This window comes from Homo sapiens, chromosome 14 (assembly GCF_000001405.40).
Source record: "Homo sapiens chromosome 14, GRCh38.p14 Primary Assembly".
Classification (NCBI taxonomy): Eukaryota; Metazoa; Chordata; class Mammalia; order Primates; family Hominidae; genus Homo; species Homo sapiens.
This window is the reverse complement of record NC_000014.9, coordinates 30,874,110-30,895,660: the sequence shown is the minus strand read 5'-3', so window position 1 is coordinate 30,895,660 and position 21,551 is coordinate 30,874,110. Positions and strand designations below refer to the sequence as shown.

The 21,551-nt window shown below is 40.5% G+C and overlaps 2 protein-coding genes and 1 long non-coding RNA gene across 14 annotated transcripts in view, besides 1 other annotated feature; 2 read left to right on the top strand and 1 right to left on the bottom strand.

Annotated features, from left to right (window-relative positions):
- STRN3 (striatin 3) overlaps nucleotides 1-1,857 on the top strand; it is a 132,576-nt gene extending 130,719 nt beyond the window's left edge. For all 5 annotated transcript variants that reach the window (NM_014574.4, XM_005267569.5, XM_005267570.5 and 2 more), the window contains one exon: nucleotides 81-1,857. In NM_014574.4, the coding sequence (NP_055389.3) occupies nucleotides 81-250 (170 nt within the window). In that variant the 3' untranslated portion in view covers nucleotides 251-1,857. The remainder of the gene's footprint in view (nucleotides 1-80) is intronic.
- COCH (cochlin) lies at nucleotides 46-21,102 on the bottom strand. 8 transcript variants are annotated; one of them, XM_047431062.1, is made up of 14 exons: nucleotides 21,070-21,102; nucleotides 20,689-20,745; nucleotides 20,363-20,605; nucleotides 17,933-18,089; nucleotides 16,717-16,850; nucleotides 16,176-16,238; nucleotides 15,165-15,209; nucleotides 14,927-15,074; nucleotides 11,005-11,108; nucleotides 10,620-10,676; nucleotides 10,041-10,267; nucleotides 9,349-9,865; nucleotides 5,868-6,045; nucleotides 46-748 (listed from the first exon to the last, which is right to left on the bottom strand). In XM_047431062.1, the coding sequence occupies exons 2-13, from the start codon at nucleotides 20,720-20,722 to the stop codon at nucleotides 5,870-5,872; spliced, it is 1,905 nt and encodes a 634-aa protein (XP_047287018.1). In that variant the 5' UTR covers nucleotides 20,723-20,745; nucleotides 21,070-21,102; the 3' UTR covers nucleotides 46-748; nucleotides 5,868-5,869. The 8 variants fall into 8 exon arrangements, with proteins under 8 accessions (XP_047287018.1, XP_047287020.1, XP_047287019.1 ...); XM_047431064.1 differs by lacking the exon at nucleotides 10,620-10,676 and having other exon boundaries at nucleotides 20,558-20,605; XM_024449506.1 differs by lacking the exon at nucleotides 46-748 and having other exon boundaries at nucleotides 5,043-6,045; nucleotides 20,558-20,605.
- Nucleotides 5,853-19,482, top strand: COCH-AS1 (COCH antisense RNA 1). Its single transcript, NR_038356.1, has 5 exons — nucleotides 5,853-6,277; nucleotides 6,406-6,518; nucleotides 9,335-10,248; nucleotides 10,987-11,151; nucleotides 19,109-19,482. It is a non-coding gene; the product is annotated as a COCH antisense RNA 1 (long non-coding RNA).
- Nucleotides 21,021-21,540: a silencer, noted in NCBI's record as "silent region_5649". NCBI's record gives its function as "represses an Ori minimal core promoter by ATAC-STARR-seq in GM12878 lymphoblastoid cells {active_cell/tissue: GM12878}" and the evidence as "EXISTENCE:reporter gene assay evidence [ECO:0000049][PMID:35858748]".

Below are 21,551 nucleotides of genomic sequence, written 5' to 3'. Positions count from 1 at the left end.
TAAGTCTTAAAGTCCTGTACTGCCCACAAACTTTATAAAAGATTGTTACTCAGTAACAAATTTTATTTGTTCTTTTACAGGCCATGACTGTTCCATCAGATTATGGAATTTAGACAGCAAGACATGTGTGCAAGAAATAACAGCTCACAGAAAGAAATTGGATGAATCAATTTATGATGTTGCTTTCCACTCGTCAAAAGCATATATAGCTAGTGCAGGAGCTGATGCTCTTGCCAAAGTATTTGTATGAATCAACAAAAACTTGCATCGTAACAAGATTTGCTTGGACAGAAAGAGGGTCTGCATCACTGCCATCAGAAAGGTTACTGATATGACACTACATGTGATCTGCCTGGTGAAGGCTATCTGGGGCAGGCACAAATTGGTGGAAATCACATCTTAATGTCAAGCTCATTAAGTTAACTGTAATTACTGTATTTTGTGGGACAAAGAAAAAAGGACTCCAGTATTTGTGGCCTGTACTGGATGTGAACTGAGCGTATATCTGTTTTTAGGTGTCTTTAAGCCAATGTGGAGTCTGATCTTTCAAAAAAGTTTTTTTTTTTCTCTTCTTCTTCTTCTTTTTTTTTTTTTTTTTTTTTTTTTTGGACTCTGTGTGCTGCCTTAGGGGTTAGGAATGTGGTGCTCTTGTTGGGGGAAGTGAGCTCCAAGAGTAGCTTTTTTTCATCTCTTAGTGATCTTCTGTTTATCGGTTGAATGCCACAGATTCCCTTTTAAACTTATTTTGCTTTAAAAAAAAAAAAAAAGAAAAAGAAAATTTAACTTAAAATATTTTAGCATTAGTTGCACAAAATGTTTGGATAAAATTCTAGTTTTTATAAGTCTTTTTATATATTTAGCCTGTCACAACAGTGCTCAAGATTGTATTGAAGTTTTTCTGCATTATACAACCCTAAAACACAGAGATCTCACTGACCCGTTGCCCTGTAACCACTTTCTTTCCTTCTTTTGCCTAATACAGCTCAGCTAAGTCCTTCCATAAAGATGCTAAATAACTTTCATCATCACATAAATGTCTTCATAAACCAAGGACTATTAAGTGTATTAAAATGAAACAGTGGGGTTTAGTACTCCAAATGAACTCTTAAAGAAAAAAACTAATCTTGGCATCCTATCACTATGTGATATTTTGTACATCTTACTGTATTTACAAGTTTATTTATCAAGGATTATCCATCTTGCTAATGGCCTATTATTTATTTCACTTTTTGTTGGTCTTTATATCCTTTTATTAATGTGCTAAAGGAACCTGTATATCTATTTTGGAACTCTTTGAATAGTCTAAAATAGACTAAAAATGGAGTATTTTATAGTTTAAATTACAAACCAAGGTGGTTCCCCCTAAGATATATATCTTGGTTTACCATGATTCCAAACAAAACTAACTTGTTTAAAAATATTTGGAGTAAAGTTTTATTTGCATTACAAATAGGATACAAAAATAGTTGAATCAGGATACAGAAATCTGCTGTGTTTTGACTAGTTATCCCTGTTTTATTTTTTTAGATGTGCTTAATTTTATGGTGTAACTAAAGATTTTGTTTGTGTAATGCATGATTAAGACAATAAAGTATTTTTTCTAGTCTTCCGAGAAACTTTTCTGATCAGTTTGCGAGTTTTGATGAGTTTTGTAAGGTTTTTGTTTTACAAACTATGAATCAGCAAATTTTTAAGATTGTACCACATAGCAAACATACAGCTGTTGAAAAATAATGTATATAAAATGCATATAATAAATATTAAATTGTGTACCTGTATGTTACTGTTGGCTACATCATTTTGTGTTGAATAATAAAGTGCAATACTTTATTCTCCATAATTAAACTAGGAAATGGAGATTTCTTAGTGAGTCCTTCATTTTTATGCTGTTCTTTCAAACTTTGTCCTACTTATTGATATTCTAATAAGAGTAGATCACTAACACTATTAATAATGTCTAAGTATTTCACCCCACTTGAAGATTAAGAAAAAGTCTTGCATTAAATTATGCAATTCAAAATAACCCCCAGAAATGCACAGGTGCAGTTTTAAGTAATTTGCTTAGACATCCTGTTACATTATTAAATCTGAATTTCAATTAATGGCAGTGTTGTTCTATTTGCCATACCTGTTCCCACAAAAAAATTCAGCAAGGAATAAACTACATTGAATATTTAGGTTAGTTGGTGCAAAAGTAATTGCGGTTTTTGGCCGGGCGCGGTGGCTCAGGCCTATAATCCCAGCACTTTGGGAGGCCGAGGTGGGTGGATCATGAGGTCAGGAGATCAAGACCATCCTGGCTAACACGATGAAACCCCGTCTCTACTAAAAACACACACACACAAAATTAGCCGGGCGTGGTGGCGGGTGCCTATGGTCCCAGCTACTCGGGAGGCTGAGGCTGAGGTGTGAGTCCGGGAGGCGGAGCTTGCAGTGAGCTGAGATCACGCCACTGCACTCCAGCCTGGGTGACAGAGACTCCGTCTCAAAAAAAAAAAAAAAAAAAAAAAATTGTGGTTTTTGCCGTTTGTAATTGTGGTTTTTGCCATTTCAATGGCAATTACTTTTGCACCAACATGTTAGTTAAAAGTTGTCTTATAATGTTAAACAATATTTTGAAACTTTTCTTCAATAAGGTAATATCCTTTGAAGGGAATTGCAGATGAAATTAGAAGGGAACACTAGAAAACTTACGTGTGAAATTCAATTTGAATGCTTGCTGCTGTTGCTGGGGGAAGAAATTACATTGTACACTGAGAAATTTTGTCATCTACCATAAAAATCTAAGTGGCAATTTTAGTCATTGACGAAAATCTAAAACTTTTCAAGTTTTTTGTTTTTTTTTTTTGAGATGGAGCGGAGTTTCACTCTTGTTGCCCAGGCTGGAGTGCAATGGTGCGATCTCGGCACGCTGCAACCTCCGTCTCCCAGGTTCAAGTGATTCTTGTGCCTCAGCCTCCCAAGTAGCTGGGATTACAGGCATGCGCCACCATACCTGGTTAATTTTGTATTTTTAGTAGAGACAGGGCTTTACCATGTTGGTCAGGCAGGTCTCAAACTCCTGAGTCACCTCAGGTGATCCACCCGCCTCGGCCTCCCAAAGTGCTGGCTGGGATTACAGGCGTGAGCCACCGTGCCCAGCAAGTTTTTTTTAAATACCATTTTTTTTGTTTTTCTGAACTGAACATTCAACTAAAGGACAAATTAAAGGGGGTACTTTTCTCCTCTTCTGTTTCTTCTTTTTTGAAATAAAGAATAAGCTTTTCCAAAGCTAGAATTGTTTCTAGCACCTATTCCAACCCAGTACATTATCATTGATCTGAAATGTGATGATTATTGGAATGCATAAACATTGACGTATTTTGGAATGTATTAAAACTGAAATGGATAAAAATTAGTATATATGTTTATTTTGTTCTATCTCCTTTGGTTGTATTTTTCTCTGCAGTATTAAACATTTGGAAGAGACTAAAGGTATGCAAAAATAATGTCTTATTTTCATTATGTGTGCTTCCATTTGACACATGGGAAATTAGATTAATTTCACTATTAAATAGTACTTTATACAAATCTTAATATGTTGATTTCTTCAATAGTTAATCATATTCTGCCTCTCATTTCATGTTGTTTTTCTCATTATTTCAAACTAGGTAACTTACCTGTTGAAGACTAACATTGCATTTAATGCATTAAGTTATAAATGGGCCAGCATATTTGAAATCTAAGCATGTTTGCTTAAGTTGGATTGTAATACGTATTTCCTTTTTACTCTGTCTCCTGTAAATAACCTTTATCCTGATTATGTTTACTTACATAATTATTGATAGTAACCTACAGTTCTGATTTCTGCTGTCTTGCTGCTATTCCCTGGTTACTTCAGGTGACTCAAAACTTGGTCCTTTATAAAATTAAAGAAAAAACCACTTTCTTAAAAGGGCTAATGAGTGGTAGCTGGGTTTTCATTAGAGCTTAATTTTCCAAGGGGTTGTACTCCTAGCTGAGAGTTTTTGGTCTACTTACTGGGGAAAAATCATACTATGCTAAACCCAGTTTTTATGATGTTTAATTAAAATTATCCCTGTTACATGATTCAGTCATGTTTGAAGCATTTTATAAAAGGGGAGGTTGTCTTCTCAAACTCTATTTTCAAATTCAAATTTTTATGTAGTGAAAAAGTCAATTCCAGTTTGTTTCTCCCTGCATGTAGTCCTTTTATTCCTCTTATGCAGGGTATAAAATTGTAAGACTCAGAAGATTTACTGGAGTATATTATTCTAACCAGTTAACACATTTCAGGGGGCTTAGGTGGATGAGAGGAGGAGATAGGACCTATCTTTAGAAAAGACAGACAAGGTGGGATGATAGAGCACCTCTGTCTTTTGGGAGAGGCCTTGGTAAGCGAATCATCTAAGTCACATTAAGGGAGTCCTGATGTTCTCCTTTCATAGGAACCAACTTCACAAGCATTTTTAAGTAAAAAATGATGTCAATTACAAAACATTTCTGGTGAAGCAAGTACTCAAAAATATCTTATACTGTTTAATCAGGTAGTGGCTGTGTATAATGCCTAGGACAGTAGGTATTCGATAAACTTGTGTCTTTTTATTTTTTTTTTTATTTTGGAGATAGGGTCTTGCTCTGTCACCCAAGCTGGAGTGCAGTGGTGTGATCATGGCTCACTGTAGCCTTGACCTCCTCGGCTCAAGCAGTCCTCCCACCTCAGCCTCCCAAGTAGCTCAGACTACAGACATGCACCATCCCACCCGGCTAATTTTTTTTTCTTTTTTGTAGAGGGGGTTCTCACTATGTTGCCCAGGCTGGTCTTGAATTCTTGGCCTCAAGCAGTCCTCCTGCTTCAGCCTCCCAAAGTGCTGGGATTACAGGCATGAGCCACTGTGCTTGGCCTCAATAAATAATTGAATCAAAGAAAAAATATTCTTGGTATTATTACATGATTTAAAAAACAATTCAGATTGGTCTTTCCACATGAATTTTTACCATATCCTCAGGGGAGACACTAGCAGTAATAAAAGTAAGCCAGCTTACAATAACTCACTAGCAGTTTTATTGCTTAAATATTCAAACTACAATATTTTTTCTGCAGTTATTTGAAATGTCTTTGTCTTTAAATGTTTATAAGCAGTCAGTAAATACTTTACCAACTTAACTTTTAAGTACTTAGGTGACTTAGAATATAAGCCAAATATATCTATATACATATAAAATTAAGGAGAGAAATAGAAAAATACCTGGCAATCCTGCTCTCTTATTCAGTGTGATATTTTTAGTCATAAGTTGTTATGAAAACACACTACAAAAGCAGTTTGATACAGGTCTCCTTTCTATATCCAGATTTTATAGTCTGCAGTAATAGCTAGCTATTATTGATTGGTTTTAAGAAAATATCCACTTGGGTCAAAATATGTGTACCTGAACCATGTTAAAGAGCTGTGTTCATTTAAGTTTCTCTTTTCATTTTGCTTATATAATCAATACAGAATGGTTAGAGAACGAATGTTGCTTTTGGTCTAAGTATCAGATTCTTTTATTGAGCTATGGAATTTGCATATCTGTACATTTAGTAGGCATGGTTAGAACTCTTAAGGTTTTAATCCACATTATCTCCTCTTTCCTGAGTTTCTAAGAGCCATGATTATGAAGCCTCAGCAGTGTTTTTAACAAAGTACACTGTAAATTGTAACCAGAAGGCAGCGGCTTTAAAGGAGTGCTTATTTGCCTAAATGGCTGTTGACATACTTAATAGTTTTGTATCTGATTCTAGTATGCTAAAGCATTTCAGTATTATGAGAATACAATTTACACACTGGATCCCCTTGTACTTTTTCTTTCAGTTGTCAAAATGTTACCATTATTGCTGGGATTCTAAGAAATCTCTACAAATGCCTCTGATGACATCAGAAACAATTGGTTCTAATCCTGTGAACTCTCTTGTGAAGAAAGCATGAGACTCCTTCGGTTTAGAAGCCATATCTTTCAGGTCATCCAGAGGTGCCCAAGCCACACCAACAGAGAAGATAGTGATTCCTACAATGAAAACATTTTAAAGTGAATTGAAAATCAGGTCTAGCTAATATATGGAATTATGTCTATATGTTTTCCATACACTGTTACATAGTTGCAGCGAAAACTGCTTACTAATTTCTGGACAATTAAATCCCCTGAACAAATTAAGTTTTCACAGTCATTGTGACGAGAGTGGCAAAAGAGTGGTCCAAACCAGAAACTCTGCTATATCTGTAATTCGCCACATTAACAGGTAAGTCATCACTGATAAGAAATAATTTGATAAAGTTCAATATCCATTAATGACAGAACACACCTATAAACTAGGAATAGAAGAAGACTTTTAACCTGATCCACAGTATCTTTTTTAAAATCCTACAGTAAATGCGGATGGTGAAAATTTTCCGTATGAGGTTGGCCTGCATCAAACAGTATACTGGAGTCAGAGTCACAATCCATTAAAGCAAGGAAGAATGGCACAAGAGATGGGATAAGTAAATAGCAAAAGTGTTCAAAGGTTGCATTGTTTGAGGAATGGTGACTAGTCCTCTGATAATGAAAAATCCTCTTCCATTTCAATCTTTATATTGGCAAACTGTCTAATAATCAGAAAATGTCAGCCTATAATCCCAAAGCAAAACTAGTGACTAAAAAGTACTGCCCAAGAGGGATCTTATGAAACTGGAGTAATTTCTTCCAGTTTCATTGAGGTATTCTATTTCCATTCACTTTAGTTACTAGAAGGCTTTTAGTACAACTGTACATTTAGGGTAATAATACATTAGTTGGATTCACCCCAATCCCAATTGTAGAAGTTTTCATTTAATCTTTTTTTTTTTTTTTTCTCAGACAGGGTCTGGCTCTTTTGCCCATGCTGGAGTGCAGTGGTACAATCAAGGCTCACTGCAGCCTCAACTTCCTGGGCTCAAACTATCCTCCTCAGCACCCCCATCCTCAAATAGCTGGGACTACAAGCGCATGCCACTAAGCCCAGCTAATTTTTAAATTTCTTTGTAGAGATGGGGTTTCACCATGTTGTTCAGGCTGGTCTCATCTCGAACTCCAGGGCTCAAGCGATCCATCTGCCTCGGCCTCCCAAAGTGCTGGGATTACAGGCATAAGCCACCACACCTGGCCTCATTTAGCAGATTCTTAGTGTAGAGTACCATCTATCTAATGCTGGGTGCAATTTTCTATAACTTTTGGAGTTTCTGTAATAGTTTTCCTCTACAGATCTAAGGTTTCATTCCCCTTCTAGTGGTATACAGTGCTCAGAGTGGTAAATACCTAAGATATGCAGCAGGTTTAGATGATGTAAAAGCTACTTGGAACAATGTCCAATTGTTCCAGTCTCCTTTTCCTGACTCTCACTCCCTGGTTAAAAAAAAAAAAAGTCAAAATATTTTTTTCCTCCCCCTCAGTTTTCCTCACTTCTTTTCAGTTCTACATTCTAGTTCAGATTGTTTAGCTCAAGCCCAGCATATAATTACAGTTAAAAAAAAAAATAATCACACCACTGTACTCCAGCCTGGGTGACAGAGCAAGACCCTGAAAATAAATAAAAACTGTTGTGATCTACCCCTAAAATCCTACCCTATTTTCTGGCTTTTGCAACTTTCAATATCACTAAGGGATAATTTTCACGAATCAATATTGGTGTAGTCCAGCCTCCTGAACTTTAATCAACCTAATCACTTTATAGCCTGAATACAATCCTGTTAACTATAAGTTCAGTAAGCTAAGTATTAAGGAATATGATAGTAAACAGGTCTTTACTTCACAGGCTAGTTGCTGATGTATAAAAAATACTTTTTACAAGCTAGATGTGGAACTTAAATTGCATGTGTTCTCTGTTTTAAGAATAATCTTTCATCAGTATCTGTAAAAATATGTGAGTACATTGGCAGAGGTACTAATGTGTAGAAAGGAAAAAGGTTATGTCATTAGGAATTAAGTAGGGAAAATGAGGTACAGAAGAGTGTTAAAAAAAACAAGTCCATTGATTCTTCCCTCCTGTCACTCAGTTATATCCTCAGAAAGGGAATCTTAGCTTTTTGTTGGCCTATTTGATCTCTAACACATTACGTTAATGTCTTCAGGAACGAGGCCTGTGCCAAAAGTAATATTAAGGCTGGGGTGAGGAAGAAAGAAACCCTTCTTATACCCTTTTATAACACCAGAGTGTGTTTTTATTATCTTAAGCGGGGGGGAAAAAGTTTTTTTTTTTTTTTTTTTTTCTTTTTGAGACAGAGTCTCACTCTGTCGCCCAGGCTGGAGTACAATGGCACGATCTCAGTTCATTGCAACCTCTGCCTCCTGGGTTCAAGTGATTCTCGTGCCTCAGCCTCCTGAGTAGCTGGGATTACAGGTGTATGTTACCACACCCAGCTAATTTTTGTATTTTTAATAGAGACTGGGTTTTACCATGTTGGCCCGGCTGGTCTTGAACTCCTGACCTCAGGTGATCCCGCCCACCTCAGCCTCCCAAAGTGCTGAATTACAGATGTGAGCCACTGCACCTGGCCAAGGAAATTTTGATGGGATAGGTAAAGTCTATGGGAGACCTTATCTTAGGAAACTCATGCCAGACAAAACTTGACTAAAATAAAAGTTAGGGTTGGGTGTGGTGGCTTATGCCTGTAATCCCAGCACTTTGGGAGGCCAAGGTGTGAGGATTGCTTGAGCCCAGGAGTTTGAGATCAGCCTGGGCAACAAAGTGAGACCCCCGTCTCTCCCCAAAAAAATTTAAAAATTAGCCAGGGGCAGTGGCATGTGCCTGTCGTCCTAGCTATTTGGAAGGCTGACACAGGAGGATTGCTTGAGCCCAATAGTTGGAGGTTGTAGCTCACTACATGCCACTGCACTCCAGCCTGGTGACAGAGCAATTACCTGTTTCATACACAAGAAAGTTAGGATAAATTACTGAATGGCAGATTCATGGTAGGTTATAAGCTGGCTATTTGGAGATATAGTCCAAGTTTGAGCTAAATATGAGCACCTTAATTGTATATGTATAAGCATATTTCCTTAATGTGACATGGTTCTCATGGCAATTCTCCCAACAATACAGTGGTTAGGAATGTGCACTCTGGAGCCAGAATGCCTGGGTTTGGATCTTGGCCTTGCCACTTACTAGAAATGTCATTTCCAGGAAGTTTGCTTCCTTATCTGTAGAATGAGATGAGTAGGGCTGCTTTAACAGTTAATATTGGGTAAAGCCACAGGTGTTTGTTTAATGAAATAAATGCTTAAATTTTTATTTACTCCTAAATTCACTGAACCGTTTTTTCTGTTCCCTTCTCCTATAAAGAACAAGGACCTTACCTGCATCATGTGCAGCAGCTGCAGGGCCTTGGACATCATCATAGGACTGCCCATCTGTGACAATTACTAGGAAGTTCTTGTTGGGGCTCTCCCTTATAGGGCCAAACACATTTCTAACAGTGAAGGAAATGGCATCACCAGTAGCTGTTCCACCACTCATATAGCGGATGTTTCTGATGACAGCTAGGACATTCTCTTTGGTGCTATAGTCAGTGAAACTGAACTCCGTGCGCTGATCATAAGTAAACTGTACAGCAGCTATCTTGGCACCAATGTCCGAGATTTCAAAAGTCTTGGCTATGTTGGAAACAAATTCAAGCATGAGGCGGAAATTGCTATCTCCAACACTGCTGGAGCCATCAATTAGAAAGGCAATGTTCACTGAGTTATAACAGGTCTTGCTGCACATCATTTGTTCATGAGTGCACAGCTTCTGTACCAGAGGCTTTACGTATTTTGTGGTGCCAAACCAGTTGGGCATGTGGTAAGAGAAGAAGCCATTATTCCGACAGACAGCCTAATGGGGGAGACACATAAAAGATATCCAAAAGGATCAAAAGTTGTTTCTTCTTAAAAACTGGAAAATCCTGAATGTTTCAAGTTAATCTAGATAAGAGGCAGTCAGCACTGCACTTAGAGGTCCAAAATGGAATACCCATCACTGTAACAGAAGATAACCCTCACCACTTTACCTTGTCAACAAATGTGACATCCTGAACCATCCCCAGTTCTTCAGGGATAGGCTTGGCCACAGAAACTATAAATACATTGACACCAAACTCTCTGGCCACAATGCCTGCTTCCTCGATGTCATCAGAAGGCCAACCATCAATAAATACCACCACCACTTTGGGGATCCCTTTTCTTACTCCAGCATCTACCGTGAAGAATTTCTGAGCAGTATGCTTCAAGGCTTTTCCTAAATTTGAAAAAGAAGCAAACAAATAGCCTTTACCACTGCTCAAACCACATTTCTGTTTCCCTGTAGCATTTGATGCTGCAAAGTTTAAGAATTATATATAGAACTGGCAGTGGGGCGGGGCACACAAAAAAGAATTATATAGAACCCAGTTCTGTAACAGATGCATCAGCTGGGAAAGTTTAATTATCTACCAGGCCTATTTATCTTCACAAGCCATATTAGTTCCCCCTCCACCTCCTAGAAGCCTCACATTTGTTTACCCCACATCAATCGCCAGTTAGAAACACAAAACTGATTCCCACTTCCATGCATGTGCTCTCTATGTAGCCCTTTGGTGACTGATTAGTACCTCTAAGAAGTCTCTCTTCAGAGTCAACGGTAGTGCTACTCATTCTTTCTGCCACATCTGCATTCATTAGATAAGTCTGTTGATTTTCACTTCTTTTTAGCATTACAAAGAGATACTTCTCCAATGTTATATCTAGTCAATCCAATGTATGAGAATTCTAAATCACCATGCTTTATATTTTTTAAAATAAGAAATATCAACACTTTGGTATACTTCCATTATAAATTGAAAATTTATCTCAGATGATCAAATGCAGACCTAGCCAAGATTTCAGTTCCAGGAGGATTTCACATCTGCTCATATAAAATAGCATAATACTGTTTTACATGTCTGATCACTGATAACCCTCTCCTATGTTACATCCCAGGTATCAAAGTCTACTTACCTGTATTGGAATTACCCCCTCTGAAACCTACTTCCTTTATGGCAAACAAAACATCTTTGGCTGATGTAAAGTTTTTCAAGTAAAATTCTATTTTGGGATGTTCACTGAGTGGAAGAAAGAAAATGTTATTCAGGGAGAATTAAAAAGGTAAAATAAGCAACATTACATGCCTTAAAAAACAGTTTTAAAACCAGACAACACACAAGTTTCTTTCTTAATTCCATAGTACATAGTCAACTGAGGCATTGCATCCTTACTTGAATTATTGGAGATATTTCAGAGGTGTAACAAATAATTGCCATATTGAGGATTTATTATATTCTGGGTAATAAGCCAAAAGCATAACACATGTAAAACCTCATTTCATCATAGCTCTATAAGGTTGGAATTATCCCAATTATGTAAATGAAGAAACTGAGTCTCAGAGCATTTAGGGAGTTTGCCTGATGAAACACAGCTGCATTTTAAGTTCAAGTTGTCTGGCTGCAAAGTCCATGCCTAAACTATACGGAGAACTTGAAATCGGGCTTGGCTCAGAGCCTCGGGTTTAACAGAAGTCCGCAGAGTTGGGCACCAGGTAGCTAAACTAAATGAGGAAGTGGCTGGGTATGAGACTAGGGTCTGTTCCAGTGTGGGACCCCAGAGGCTCTAAGTAGTGTGGATCTATTAACTCAGAGCTCTCTGTTCAGGAGAAACAATTTCATTGATGTGACCGTCAACATTTTTTTAAAGGGACAAAGGTGAAATGAATTATAAAGTTACAATATTGAGTTTTTCTTATAATGACAATGACATTTGTGCACCTTAAAATTATGTGTATTGTAAGAGTTTTGAGATCTCATTTCCTATATTTAATATTAAAGGAATTTCAGCTCACTTTTATATAACTACTCTGTGTTCAGCAGAGACCGTTTTGAGTATAAACAACCACAGCACAATCTGTTGTGTTTAGTTTCTAGATGAGTCAGTATTTCCTAGTGCAAAATTTAAGATCTTAGCATTATCAGTAGCCATTTTATTCAAGATTTTTTGAGGGAGAAGTAGAACACTGACTGTATTTCTGCATACATACCTGATGGAATATTGGGTCATAAAATCAGATTTCATGGGTTGAAAACCTTTTCACTTGTGGTCACTTTTCAACTATCCAGATTATGACTTATGAAATTAGTCTCATTTTTGTATCCTTGATATATTCTGTTCTTTGACTTACATACATATAAACTTGACATGGTTTACCTATTCTAATGGTCTTTCTAAAACAGAAAAACTACAAAACTTTGTATGAGTCTACAAGGTAATGAAGAATTCATCTTCAAAAAGAATTGGGTCAAAGTAGTCAGAAAAAAGTACAAGACAAAAAGTACTGCAGGGGAATTTGCCTCATGGGATGTTAAAATGTGCAATAAAACTGTGATAATCAAAGCAGCGTAGAAAAAAATATGTAAGGATTAGCATATGAATCAAAGAAATAGACTTGCTCAAACTCAGGTATAAATGTGATACCATAAGTCAATGAAACAAGGAACACATTTTTTTTAAGGGTGAGAGACAAATGGTTAAATTATGTTAAAACAGTTAAATTTTCTTCTCATGCCAAAAAAATTCTATCTAATCTAAGAGCAGAGCCACTTGTAAAAAATAACAGAAATGAAATGGAAATTAATATTTGTAATAGCACTGTTTATACAACCTTACACACTGCTGATAGTAGTTTAAACTACTTCACCTTTCTAGGAAGCAATTTCGCTATTTATTTGTTTTTTTAGAGATGGGGTCTTTCTCTGTTGTCCAGGCTGGAGTAGAGTGGTGCCATCATAGCTCACTGCAGCTTTGAACTCCTGGGCTTGAGAGATCCTCACACCTCAGCCTCCTGAGCAGCTGGCACTACAGGCATGAGCCACTGTGCATGGCTCAATTTCACTATTTATATCAGAGGCTTTAAGTCAGAACCTCACTTTTAGAAATCTAACCTGATGAAATAATCAGAGATGGGCACAAAGATGATATAAGGATGTTCATCACAGTGTAGTGTGTAATGTAGTGAAGAAATAATAAGAATGACTAATCATGCAGCGGAATATTATGAAATATTTTTGATGAATATTTGTGATATGAGAAAATGCTAAAAATACTAAAGGATGAAAAAAACAGGATGCAGGGCATTTTTAATAGTCTGAGTTTTTAAAAAATAATACAGTCAAATATTTCCTTAAAATACTGAAGGGGCCAGGCGTGGTAGCTCACACCTGTAATCCTAGCACTTTGGGAGTCCGAGGCAGGTGGATCACCTGAGGTCAGGAGCTCGAGACCAGGCTGGCCAACATGGTGAAACCTTGTCTCTACTAAAAATACAAAAATTAGCCAGGCGTAGTAGTGCACACCTGTGATCCCAGCTACTCAGGAGGCTGAGGCAGGAGAATCACTTAAATCCAGGAGGCAGAGGTTGTAGTGAACAAAGATCGTGCCATTGCATTCCAGCCTCGGTGACAGAGCAAAACTCCGTCTCAAAAAAAAAAAAAAAAAAAAAAAAAAACCATTTTATAGTGATTATCTCTAGGGCATATGATTTAGAGCATTTCTTTTTTTGTGCTCTATGTATTTTCAAGCTTTCTATAATGAGCATATTCTATTTCTAAAAGCAATTAATAAATAAATATTTATTTATTTATTTATTTTTATTTTTATTTTTTGAAACAGAGTCTTGCTCTGTTGCCCAGGCTGGAGTGCAGTGGCACGATCTTGGCTCACTGCAAGCTCCACCTCCTGGGTTCACGCCATTCTCCTGCCTCAGCCTCCCGAGTAGCTGGGACTACAGGCGCCTGCCACCACGCCCGGCTAATTTTTTTTTTTTGTATTTTTAGTAGAGACGGGGTTTCCCCGTGTTAGCCAGGATGGTCTCAATCTCCTGACCCCGTGATCCATCCGCCTCGGCCTCCCAAAGTGCTGGGATTACAGGCGTGAGCCACCGCACCTGGCCAGCAATTAATAAATATTTTTAAATGAATAAAATAGAAAGGTCGTGCTTCAGATCACCAACCAAGAGAATATGGAAAGAGCTAAAAAGAATAACAGAATAGGGAGGTGGAATAGACATATCACTGCTTCTTCCTTCAGAAGAGAGAAATTAGGAATTGAGCAGAGTAGATAAGCAGAGGTGACTTGTGTAAGCAACAGGACTCTCCAGTCTACCTTCTGGTTCTTATATAGATAGCACACAGTTTTCTAAATTCTTTTATTCCAAAAAGGAGGCACTCAGATCTACTCAGTCTGCCCAGGCAGTCTTAGATCCTGAACTTACAGTTTGGGAACCCAGTGTGTCCATAACTCAAATGTTTATACTGAACTGACATGTACCCACTAAAAGAACTGATCATTTGTCATCATTCAAGACTCATTCAAATCTCCTCTCATTTGATTTTTTTCTTTTTTTTTTTTTTTTTTGAGACATAGTCTCACTGTTGCCCAGGCTGGAGTGCAGTGGTGCAATCTCGGCTCATTGTAACCTCTGCCTCCCGAGTCCAAGTGATTCTCCTGCCTCAGCCTCCCAAGTAGCTAGGATTACAGGTGCATGCCACCACATCTGGCTAATTTTTGTATTTTTAGTAGAGACGGTGTTTCACATGTTGGCCAGACTGGTTTTGAACTCCTGACCTCAGGTGATCCACACACCCACTTGGCCTCCAAAGTGCTGGAATTACAGGCGTGAGCCACTGCACCCGGCCTCATTTGATTTTGAATGTATCCAACACAAAGAAATGATCAATGTTTGAGGTGATGGATATGCTAATTACTCTGATTTGACCACTATACATTGTATGTATGAAAACATCACTATGTACCCCATAAGTATATATAATTATTATGTGTCAATTACAAAATAATTTTTTTTTTAAATCTCCCATTTTAACAAGGTTGGTACCTGGCTTGAACAAGGCCCACATGTGGTCCTTCTGTTCCAATTCCCAACATTAGAGCCACTTTTCCAACAAAATTCTTCTGTAAATTAAATCGGCGCTGCCCAATATTAAAGCTTCCATCAATCAGAAATGCAATGTCTGCTTTACAATCTGCGAACAACCAAACCAGTCCCCTCATTAGCAGTCTCAAGAGGAGGGAGGGAAAATGCTACCTTCCCAAATGGAGATCTTGATTCTTACCTTTATTGCCAGTTTTCTTCTCGGGTGTTTTCTTTAGTCGTTTACCTGAAATAAAAGATGCACTTGGCATTAACAAAAGGAAGACAGTTACATAGCAAGAAACCCACATGGGGAGAAGCTCATAACAACAGAGTGCCATTCTTGAAAGGACTTTTTTAAAAAAATTAATTTCCTCAGGATTTTCTGGACTAGGGAAAGCAATGACCCAACAAATAAACAAATCAGTATGTAGGCCTACATATTTGATATGCCCTAATCCAGGACTTTAATACCCCAAACCCACAGGTGAGGCAGGAACTCAACATTAAATCCTAATGTTCTTAATATCTTTGACTTTAAAACTGCCATCGTCATACAAAAGGGGATCCCTGGCTATTTCTTACAATAGACACACATTCCTTTTAGTCACATGACAGTGCAGTAATTAAAGGAATTTAATGAAGCAAATGGAACTAGAAGTTCATGGTACTTTGACCAGTTCTTAGGCGTGGTTTATCAAATCTGGGAGAAAATAGGACTTTTAGAGAATTATTAGGCTGGGTGCAGTGGCTCATGCCTGTAATCCCTGAACTTTGGGAGGCTGAAGTGGGAGGACTGCCTGAGGTCAGGAGTTCAAAACCAGCCTGGGCATCATAGCTAGACCTGTCTAAAAAAATAAAAATAAAAAAAATTAAAAATCAAAAAAATTGGCTGGGTGTGGTGGCATGTGCCTGTAGTACCACCTACTCAGGAGGCCAAGGTGAGAAGATTGCTTGAGCCTAGGAGGTTAAGGCTGCAGTGAGCTATGATTGCACCACTGTACTCCAGCCTGAGCAACAGAGTGAGACCCTGTCTTTAAAATATACACATAATGAATGTTTCCATATGTAATATACCAGTAAACTTAAGGTATTTGCTTTGTTTCTCTTTAATATCAAATTTCTTTAAGAAAAGCTTCTACCAACAACACGTTTATTCATAACTTCCAAATGCTGTGCCGGGCAACTAGGAGATAGGTTTCATAGTTCATACCTGTTGGTGGATGTGCTGTGGACACTGCTTGTCCTGTGGCCTCCTGTGTACTACTTTTGCCTTCTGTTAAAATAAAAATAAGCTTATTTTTTTCCTTTTCCTTCTTTACCAAAGTATTATGAATCTAATTTAGAGCTCTCTACAATGACAAATGTAATAGGGTAATGGTGATTGTAGTTACAAACATCCTGCTGCATGCTAGTTTCAGAGAACCAAAATGCTTATCCATTATATCTTCAAAGGATCATCAAAAATGTATTTAGTAGTTTTTCAGTTCCTTGGTAAGTGTCCGGGCATTCTGACTGCAAATAATTCAAGTTTCTATTGCCATCATCTGTCAGTAAGATTGTCTTCTATTCACCCAAATTTGGCTTCAGTGGGTACTTGACCCCTCAGTCTAACCTACAGTTTACCTCTATAGGTCAGCTTTAGTCTTGATCACAGGTTTTTCCATCAAGGTTAAAGAGGCTGAGCTAAAAAAAGCAGAAAACGTTTGGGGGGTGGGAGAATATTACAGAATGAGAACAATAATTATACCTACTAGTTACTGTGAAAGAAGCAGACCATCTAGAAAGCATTTGAGACTGGATGCCATTGGCATCTACTGAGGAATAGTTTTCTCGACCAGGTAGGCTATAGACTCGTACAGGTCCCCCTGAGTTGCTGATTACTCCCCTGTAACACAAGAATAGCAGCTGAGATGCTATCCACACTTTTTCAGGGCATCCCACTGACTTATAGTGCCATGTTGTATCTATTGCTTTGATTAATCAAGAAAATAGCTCATCAGGGAAGTCATCTAAAGATTCTGCTTTATTTATTTATTTATTTGATGGCGTCTCGCTCTGTAGCCCAGGATGGAGTGCAGTGGCGCGATCTCGGCTCACTGCAACCTCCACCTCCAGGATTCAAGTGATTCTCCTGCCTCAGCCTCCCAAGTAGCTGGGATTACAGGCATGCACCACCATACCTGGCTAATTTTTGTATTTTTAGTAGAGACAGGGTTTCACCATGTTGGCTAGGTCTCGAACTCCTGACCTCAAGTGGTCCATCCGCCTCAGCCTCCCAAAGTGGTGGGATTACAGGTGTGAGCCACCACTCCCAGCTGCTGCTAGCCTTTTAAAAACTTGCTTACACAAGAACAAAATTTGCCTGGAAAAAAATGGTTTTGTGCTGTTGAACTTCTTAAGTGTTGATAAGAACACATTTGTAATATCCCATTACCCACAACTTAGAAATTCAGAGCACCAAACAATTTTCCTAAGATACTCACTTTAGCTACATGCCTTTGGACTGAATTTTTTTAGAAGTATTATACTGGCTATTCTACTACAGGATAGCATGGCACTTGCTAACAATAGTCACCTTGGGCAAGATACTTGACAACTCTCTGAGTTCAGTTTCTTCATCTGTAACTGGAGTAAAATTCTACCTACCTTGTAGAGTTGTGGTGGAAGTTAAAACAATAGGTGGCACATAGTAATAACTCAGTAATATATCACATGATTAGGAATGTTTTGGAATCATAGCAATCTAGCCATCAAGAGGTAATGCTATTTGCCTTTTGTCAGAAAGCTTTCCATGTGTATTTGGTGTTTCAAGTATATCCAGGAGAACCGTGAAAATATATCCATTTTCTGTGGCCACAATGGCAACAAAAGAAAGAATGCAGGGAGGAAAGGGATCCAGATGGGTAAAGCAGGAAAGGAAATAATCACGTCTGCATTTCTCTCCCACCCTGGTGTGTTTGGGCTTACCTGTGGACAGCAGCCCCACATATGCTCGATACAGAAGCATATACTATGTTCCCATACACAGAGAATTCCTCAAGAGGGCAGCCCCCTGGGCAGAGGACATCTGCTTTCTCTTTCCTGATGTCCAAGCCTCTGGTAAAACATGTGATAGCAATGGGAGCTGAAGAAAAAGGAGATAATATTGTAAGCATTCTTAGGACTTCTTGGGGCATAGTGGTGGGGAGACTACAGTGTGAGATTTAAGTTTTACTTCCCTAATTTCTACACTTCTAGTTATGACTATTGACTTATATACCCTTCCATACCATTCCAGATTTTGGCAAGCCACAAGGTTGTTTTCCAATTTAATATAGTCCCCAGCCACTATAAAACTCTAATGTGAAAGTTCTGGGTTTTTATTTCGTTTTTGTTTTTGAAATGGGGACTCGCCAAGTTGCCCAAGCTAGGCTCAAATTCCCGAGCTCAAGTGATCCACCTCCAACTCCCTAGTAGCTGGGATTACAGGTGTGCCACTGTGCCTGGCTTCTCAGTTCTTAACCAGGTTGGAAATACATAATTGGAACTATATCTGAACTAGAAAATAAAAGTCATTTAATATTAATTATAGAAATATAAAAAATCTTGGCTGGGCGTGGTGACTCATGCCTATAATCCCAGCACTTTAGCAGGCCAAGACAAGAGGATTTGCTTGAGTCCAGGAGGTCAAGACCAGTCTGGACAACATAGCAAGACCTCATCTCTTCTAAAAAAAAAAAATTTTTTTTAAATGGCCACACGTGGTGGTGCATGCCTGTACTCTCCGCCACTGGAGAGGCTGAGGTGGGAGGATTGCTTGAGCCCGGGAGTTCAAGCTTGCAATGAGCTATGATTGCATCACTGCACTCCATCCTGGGTTACAGAATAAGATCTTGTCTCCAGAAGAAAAAAAAAAATTTTTAAATCTCAACTTTGATGACGCTATGTACACAGTTGCTTGAGGTAAAGATAGTAAATCTGGATTGAGCCTTTGTGGAACATTTTCATAGACATGTGCACAAATCAAAGCCATCCTTTCCTTCATAGGACCATTTATCCTAGTTAGCCTACAAATGCAGATCCTTAAACTCACACATTAAGGAAGCCAACAAAAAGATGCTTAGATTCACAGAAAGTTATCTAACTTGATTGTTCATTTTATAGATGAGAAAATTAAAGCCGTGGGGTTAATTTGCCCAAACAACATTCTACAACTCCCGAAGGACAGAAAACAGAAAAGTGAATCCCTTCAGAATACAGCATTTTTATCTTAATTGAACCTGATTATTTCTGCTCCAGATCTGTCCAGTGAGATTTATCAAGCAGCGGATGCATTTTTAGAAAGCACTGTTAATATTCTCAAGTTTTACACTGTCAACCTAACAAAGAATCAGTTTTTACTATAAATGATGCTAGGAAGAGACAAGCTCTTGGCAACAAGTAACAAGATAACATAATACAACATGTTAATTTGTGAATTTACTGTCGATACTAAATTGAGATTAATGTTATTAAATGCTATTTTTCAAACATGGGAAGTTGTAGTTATCCAAACCTTTTTAAAACATATATTAATTTTAAAAACCTTTTTTTTCCAAGGCAGAGGAATACTTTCTGGCCATACTGTCCAACTGAGTACCTTGCCTGTGACAAGCACCCTCCTCTGTGCCCTTTGTGGTGACAGGTACCTTACATTCCATGGAAGAGAAGGAAGGATGCAGGCGCAATGCCCATTTCTTAGCTCTGAAGCAGTCTAGAGAGCTGAGAGGTTAAAATCCTTACCCCTAAACAGCCTCATACCTATCATCAAACAGCCTTAATCCTTCCTCCCATTTTCCGCTGAGATGGGGGCGGCATCGGAATCCGGTGCCAAGACCGACCGCCTTTAGTTGCGAACACTGACTTTTGTTAAGTAGAGCGGGAGAAATACAGCCATGAGGGATACTTAACCCTCATTCCTACTTTCAAGGAAAACAAACGGTAGCTCTTAGGAAAGCGTTGCCTTTTACACTGGAAAATACACCAAACCACACACCCATACCCGGACCTCTACACGTGGTACAAACTTTTTAAACTCTCTAGCGTGTAGAGTGAGACCGCGAGTGCTTCTGATTATAGGGGTTACACCTAGAAACATAGCTAGCGAGTCAAACAAGGTGGGACAGCGACGTTCGCCTCCCTCTCTCTCGGCTACGGCAACCTGAAGTCGGGTCTGGGCGGCTTCTCCTCCACCCCCAAACGCAGCAGAGCCCAGGACTGGTGCGCTCCTCGGTGAGGCTCAAGGAGTCCTCCTTCCTCGACCTCCTGCTGCCGGCGCTCAGCGGGCCCGGGGTCTGGGGCTGTGGGTGGGCCTGGAGGAGGCCTTCTTCCTAGTGCTCTTGGAGAACGTCCCCCCACTGGACCCCAGGGGCCCCCTACCATGGGAGAAACAGGTGAGCAGGAGCAGATCGGCTGCAGGGGTTAACGCGGGCGCGCCACGCGGCGGCTCAACCTTCGCGCCTTCCTCCTCAGGCGGTAGGGCTGAAGCCCAAGGGGCTGGATCTGAGTCCCGCTTGTACCCGCTGGTGCTCAGCCCCTGCGACCGCCTGGACGCACCCCAGCTCCCCCACTCACCGGCTCCCTCGCTGCCCGCGGGCCCCGGCAGCAGCAGCAGACACACACCTGCGAAGAGAGAAGCGTGAGGGCTGGCTCCAGCCTCCACCCAGCGGAGCAAGGGGCCGGGGTCGTGAGGGGCGCGCACCCACCGAGGCCGAGAGCCGGGATCCAGGCTGCGGACATGGTGACTGATAGGCTGCTCACACCTGGGAGAGAGGGAGAATGCGGGCAAGGCCAGGGTGCGGGAGGCCCCGCGCGTCACCTCCTCAGAGCCCCGCACCCTTCGGATCCCCGGGCGCGGCGCAGAGGAGAGAGGACACAGACGACCCGCTGCTCCAGGCCAGCGCCCCTCTAGGTCTGGGAGGCGCCTCGGCGGCAAATCGAGCGAAGCCCAGGATCGGTGTGCAACCCCGCACCGCGGGGAGGCGGGGGCGCCAAAACGACGACAGACAGGCTGGGAGCGACAAAGAAACAGGGACAGAGGCGTCAGGGATCCCTCGCACCCGCGCCCGCCGCCCGGGGCTCCGCACCTGCTCGAGATCCACCCGGCTGCGCCCGAGTGCGGAAGGCAAGGCCCCCGCGGCCGCTATAAAGGCTGGGCCGTGCGCATGAGCACTGTGCGGGGGGCGCGGGAGGAAGCGCGGGAGCCGGTCCCCCGGGGCCCGGCGGCGACTTCCAGCTCCGCCTTCGCCCCCTGCCGGCCCCGGGGTGAGGCCGGCGCGGAGGCGCCTCCTCCAGCAGCGCAGGCTCGGCCACCTGGACGCGGCGCCAGTCCCTAGAGGGGCACGAAGGTCCCCGTGCCGGCGTCTCAACGAGTGTGGAGGGCCGGCGGCCCCGACGGCGGCAGCAGCGGCCTCGCCAGCCCTGCTCTGCCGGGACCAGGGCTGCTGAGGCAGCGGCGGCCGCTACCCGCCCCACCCAGCGAGGCCTGGAGCTTCTGAGAGCTGTCAGGTCCACGCGGCCTGAGAACCGAACTTCTCAACTTGGTGCTCTCGTGGAAAGAGTTCCTACT